The following is a 5,536-nucleotide window of genomic DNA, read 5'->3' as shown; positions in this document are numbered from 1 at the left end:
ACATGCCTCTTGATTTCAAATATGAGAGAAACATACATTTCTTCCTTTTATCTCATTTGAGCACAACAATATTATATTTTATGCACGTGTAACTAGAGGTCAGAAAGGAGTAAACTGAACCCCAAGTGCACTCAATTCAATGTGATCAATATTCCTTTATTTTAAAGGCATTCATAAAATAGCAAATGCGCAATTTATGAAAACAGCCAAATTATTCACCCCTCCCTCTAACCATGCCTTTTGGCATGTCACTTTGAATTTTGTCCTACAAAAGCAGAGTATATTCTTCTACCCCGTCTATTTTGTTTGGACCAATAGAGTAGAGAGGAAGTGGCAGTTCCAGGCCAAGACCTTAGAAGCCTACAGGTTTCTCACTCTTACAACTCTGCCATCAATGGGGACACACTCAGACTGGGCTGCTGGAGAAACACAGACACGTGGAGCACAGCTAACCTGCCCTATTTGTCTAAGTGGAAGCCATCGTCGATCATGCAACAGCTGATCCCCAGACCCCAAGCCCAACCAAGAACTGCAGAACCATTTACCCAACCCCCAGCTGACCCCAGATGGAACTGTGGGAGTTGATAAAGCTTCCAGTTTTATATATGTCTAATCACATGGTTCTCCTCCTGTTTTCCATCATTTCCTGTTCATCTTTAAGGTTCCAGTTTTTGTGTCTCTGCCTGGAGTAAGGAACAGATATATTATTTAGTGTTTTGAGGTGAACCTAATTCATTAATTGTGTTACTTGGTAAGAAATTGCATATATTGCATATAAACAATAAATGTTTTTTGTTGAATGCCATTGAAGGTATTGTGGTTTGTTACACAGTATTATAACGGCACTAGATAACTGATAAAGCAGTTTCAGTGTCTATCCTCGTTAAAAATAAGACCTATTGTGGAGTGTAATTTGGGATGTAAATTAGAGTATAAGCATTGCAAGGGCATGTGTGCGTGTGTATGAAATAGAGAGAAAGTGCACAGTCAATGTTTTTGCATGTGAATGACTAAAACCACATTTATTTCTTCAGTCTCAAAATGACACTGGATAACTCACCCAAAGAACACTCATTCATTCACTCACTCACTTCATTATCCATTACCTAGCTAACAACATACTAGATATCAGGGATATAAAGGCAAATAGGCTGTGATCACTGCTCTTGAAGAATCTTTTGTATACTTGACGATACATTAGAAAATACACTATGATGGAATGACGGCTCTACCTTCTCTCTCTTACAAATTATAAACATGAGCCAATGTTTCACTACAGCTAATAGTTACTAGAGGTTGTAAGTACTACCTTCTTTTTAATTGTCTATTAAAAATTTGTCTAAGCTTTTCTTTTAAAAAGTCAATTTGTTTATTCCTCAGTCCATAATGTTACACCTCAAGGTAAGACTCCCTTTCAAATCTGAAACTCTTGACATTGGCAGTATAGAAAAATAAAGTACATGTCGCACAGTGGGTGCCAGAGACCTATATTATGTCCTACTGTTGGTTACAGAATTTTCAATATTTCTTTATCCTTTTCACTCATATGAACTGCAGCTTATAGCAGTGGTAATCATTTCCTGTGTTTGAAAAAGAGATGAAAGCATTCATGGATGAAAGCAAGTTGGATTTAATCTCCTTCTCTCTCATCCAGTGCACTGTACTGATCATTTTCCAAAAAAACACGACTTAAGCTCATTTTTGTCATGACAAAACTAGTTTCATAATAATCAGATGGCAATTCCTAGTGTACACAATTCTAATATAATTACCAGGAGGAAATGTAGAGGGAGTTGCAGGTTTGAGATAAAGAAAAGCCTGTGAATTTTGTATTAATGTCTCAGACTCTCTTATTTGTGGAAGTAATCAATCTTTCAGGGAGTAGAATAGTAATTCTTTGTGAAAAAAAATGACAAGAGTCAGAGGAAGAAAGAAGATAATCTAAGTTCCATTCGGTACACAGCAGGTCAGCTGTGATTGACAAAGCTCATCACAAAACTATAGCTCACGGAGTAATCCCAGTAGCAGAGTCTCATTTGCAGCCGAAGCAGTGTTAATGACATGTTTAACAGCTGCTTCTTGAAGTTTGGAATCTGCATTAACCCGCAGAGCAGTGAACAGAGAAATGAGGGAAAGTATTGAAATCAAGCCTTCATTATTCTGACAGCCCAGGTGAAAGGGTGCCCAGAGGTTGTGGAGAGGTGGATAGGAGGGTCTGGAAGGTGGAGGGTTCAATTGCATGTAAGGACCATCTTGGAGATGACAGGGTCTGATCAATAAACAGAGGACTACAAAACAAACTGACGTGTTCAACTCAGAGACAATGAGACAAGGAAGTCAGGCAACCAGAATGGAACCATAACTTGGACACCAAATGTTATGCAGGCATTACAGTCGCTAAAGATCAACTCAATATTAATGCAGCAGTGGAGTTTGTTCCATGGAGAAGACCAAGTGATGCCATGGCTTTAGGCTTCTTTACCCCCAGAAATCTTATTTTTTCATCCCAGCTCAAAAAGCAAAGGGGCATATGTAACACAGTGTATTTTCTAGACTACTTATAATAGTCTATGTTGAATTCACTTAAATTAACTACCCAACAGAGTTTCTTTAAATGCAACTCTTTATAATGGTCCCTTTTTTTTTCCATGGAAGTATATCTCTGGCTTTTCCATTGGCTGAGGGCATCGGTTGCTGAGGGAGAAGAATGAGAACACAAAGGAGTTGTCAGGGGATTTGGGGCAAATCCTAACTTCTTCACACTTTTTAAAAGTAGCCTTAGGCAGCTTGTGCAAATGCCTTGAGCTTCAGTGTCCTTATCTGTAAAAAGAGTAATAACACCCACTTTATAGGGTTGTCGTAAAGAATAAAGTAAAATATGTAAATCCCCCAGCACAAGTACACGCTTCATAAAACATCGGCATTATTTACTAGAGATGGCCACCATCAGTGGGTAAGTGTAGCGGATCTGCCAAAAGTACTTCATTGATATAAATTGGTATAAAAATCTCACAAAAACCTGACTTTGGGTAGAATTTTAGCTGCATGTTACCAATGCATTTTTTTTTCTACTTTGTTCACGGAGCTGTGTCAGATACCTAAAAACCATGGCTGGCACAGGATAGGCATTCAGAAAATATTGTGGGTGAGTATACCTGCTGTAGGAATCTGAAGAGTCTTTTTCTGTACTGTATTTTGCTTCTATGGAGGCCTTTCTTCATTAAGAAGAAGAATGCTGGAACTCCTGAATTATAGGATCTTGGAGCTCATTTCATCAACCCTTTCATTCTGCACATGAAGAACTAAGGCCAAGGGAGAGTTTGACTTGCTTTAGGCAAAGCAAACCATGAATGAAGGTTTCACAATCTTATGGTATTTCATAAGTCATAATGTGTTCCAGCCCTTCTCTTCCCTTAACACAGACACTAGGCAATGAATTTCCATGGCAGTTTCAGTCATTGAACGGGCCTGCTCACAAGGTATTCTTTCTTTAGCTTCAAGTTATTTTACCCTTCAGATCCTCTAGGTTCTCCTATGTCAAATGAGAAGGTTGGAGAAGAAACTTTTGTTTTGCGCTGTTTTCTGTAAAACTTGGTGGTTTGGGGGAAGTCCTACACAGGAACGCTGTAAACTCACTTTCCATCCTTGGATTCCCATTTAAAATAGAGCACTTCTTTTAAAAACATTATATATACCAGATTCTACATAAGATTTATTTAGGATTAGAAACAGTTTCTTCAGTTAAATGACAACTGACTAGATGATCTCTGGGATACCTTCCCTCCTGTCTATTATGAGGGTGGAAAAAGTGAGGCCAACCCACTGGGAACTCATTTATTTTTATTACAACATTCACCAACTTTTCCTTCCCAAAGGATAAGGGGCCCAACAAAGCAAGAAGGAGGGAGAAGGGAGAGGGGGAGAAAGAGGACAAGAAGGAAGAACAAGAAAGCCGCCACTAGTAAGAGGAAGAAAGCAAAAAATTCACTAACAACCTTCAAATTCTTTTGGTCTGTGTATTTCTGTACCCATCATCTTAATCTTCCCAAAAGTTCTATAATACAAGTAGCAAAGGCATTATTTCCATTTGCCTGGGAGAAACCGAAATACTCGAGGCTAAATTAATGTCCAGGGCTCTGTGTGCCATCAGTGCTGGAAGTATGGGAATAGAATGCCCATCTTGAATTCTTTCTACATTGTACACTGATTAAAGCAAGATAACATCATGTCATTTGGGCTGCTTCCTTAAGGCCAATGTGTCTTATGTTTGGAAAACAAGAGTGGTCCAATGGCTTACACCTTTGAGGTCTCAGAATACAGACAAACATCTCTCTTTCCACACAGATCATGCCATGTGTCTGAAATAGCCAAACCCTTCACAGAACTCTGTCATTGCCACAAACACTGCACGCATTTTTCTACTTTGCAGCTAGGTAGCAAGTTATCTGTTTCAGATCAATTACCTGGCCATGAGGCCAATAAACAGTTAATGTGAGGTCAGGCACAGTGGCTCACGCCTGTAATCCCAGCACTTTGGGAGGCCGAGGCAGGAGGATCACCTGAGATCACGAGTTCAAATCAGCCTGGCCAACATGGTGAAATCTTGTCTGTACTAAAAATACAAAAATCAGCCAGGCATGGTGGCAGCCACCTGTAATCCCAGCTACTTGGGAGGCTGAGGCAGGAGAATCACTTGAACCCAGGAGATGGAGGTTGCAGTGAGCTGAGTCGTGCCATTGTACTCCAGCCTGGGCAAAAAGAGCAAAACTCCATTTCAAAACAAACAGAAAAACAAACAACATTTAACATAGCAGAGGTATTATACTCAATTTCATTTCCTTCATCTGGTGCAAATGAAGATAATTGGATATTATTGAAATTCTGAGGTGTGTCAGGTGTTTAGAGCATGGACCCCATATCTCTGGTTTTGTGACATTCTGGGATTTCCCCCCTCACACCTACCCCCACAACTCTCGGCCCACCCACAGAACCTCAAAGCCTTTGTGAAATTCTTCAAATGTTTTCAAATGCAAATGGTTTTAATTTACTTTTTGCATACATCTACATATATGTTGGTGTAAAAATAAATATTCATTTTATAAATATACCTACCTATGTGTTTTTAAATATACATATGGAGGTCACATGCCTTAGTTCTTTCTAAAATCCTAATTCAGACAGCCACTTTGGAGACATAGTGGGGAAGTTTTGGGGTCTCTCTTGCTTCCTTCTGCTCTAATACAGTGCTTCCCCATTAATTATGGTTTGCCCCAGCACCTCCCATGCTCAGACTTAAAGTGTGATGCCTTCCTTCTCCCCCACTTGGTATTAATAATAATGATAATACCTACAGGTTATTCAGCACTTGCTATATGTGAGGTACCACATTGGTTGTTTTATAAACATTATCTCTTATGATCTTCCCAATAGTGAGAATTTCTCCTATTATCTGTCTTTTATAAAAAGAAACTAGTTTAGGGGTTAAATAAAAGTCTAAGGACACATAAATACTAAGAGAAATGATTTGTATTCAAAT

General features: G+C 39.1%; 1 annotated feature.

Moving 5' to 3' along the window:
• Positions 1,130 to 2,637: an enhancer, noted in NCBI's record as "VISTA enhancer hs1212". NCBI's record gives its function as "enhancer in: heart[4/6]" and the evidence as "EXISTENCE:transgenic organism evidence [ECO:0001131][PMID:17130149]".

The sequence above is a fragment of the Homo sapiens genome, chromosome 2, assembly GCF_000001405.40.
Source record: "Homo sapiens chromosome 2, GRCh38.p14 Primary Assembly".
In the NCBI taxonomy this organism is placed as follows: domain Eukaryota; kingdom Metazoa; phylum Chordata; class Mammalia; order Primates; family Hominidae; genus Homo; species Homo sapiens.
The sequence above is the reverse complement of the archived record's forward strand: the minus strand, read 5'-3'. Positions and strand labels throughout refer to the sequence as shown.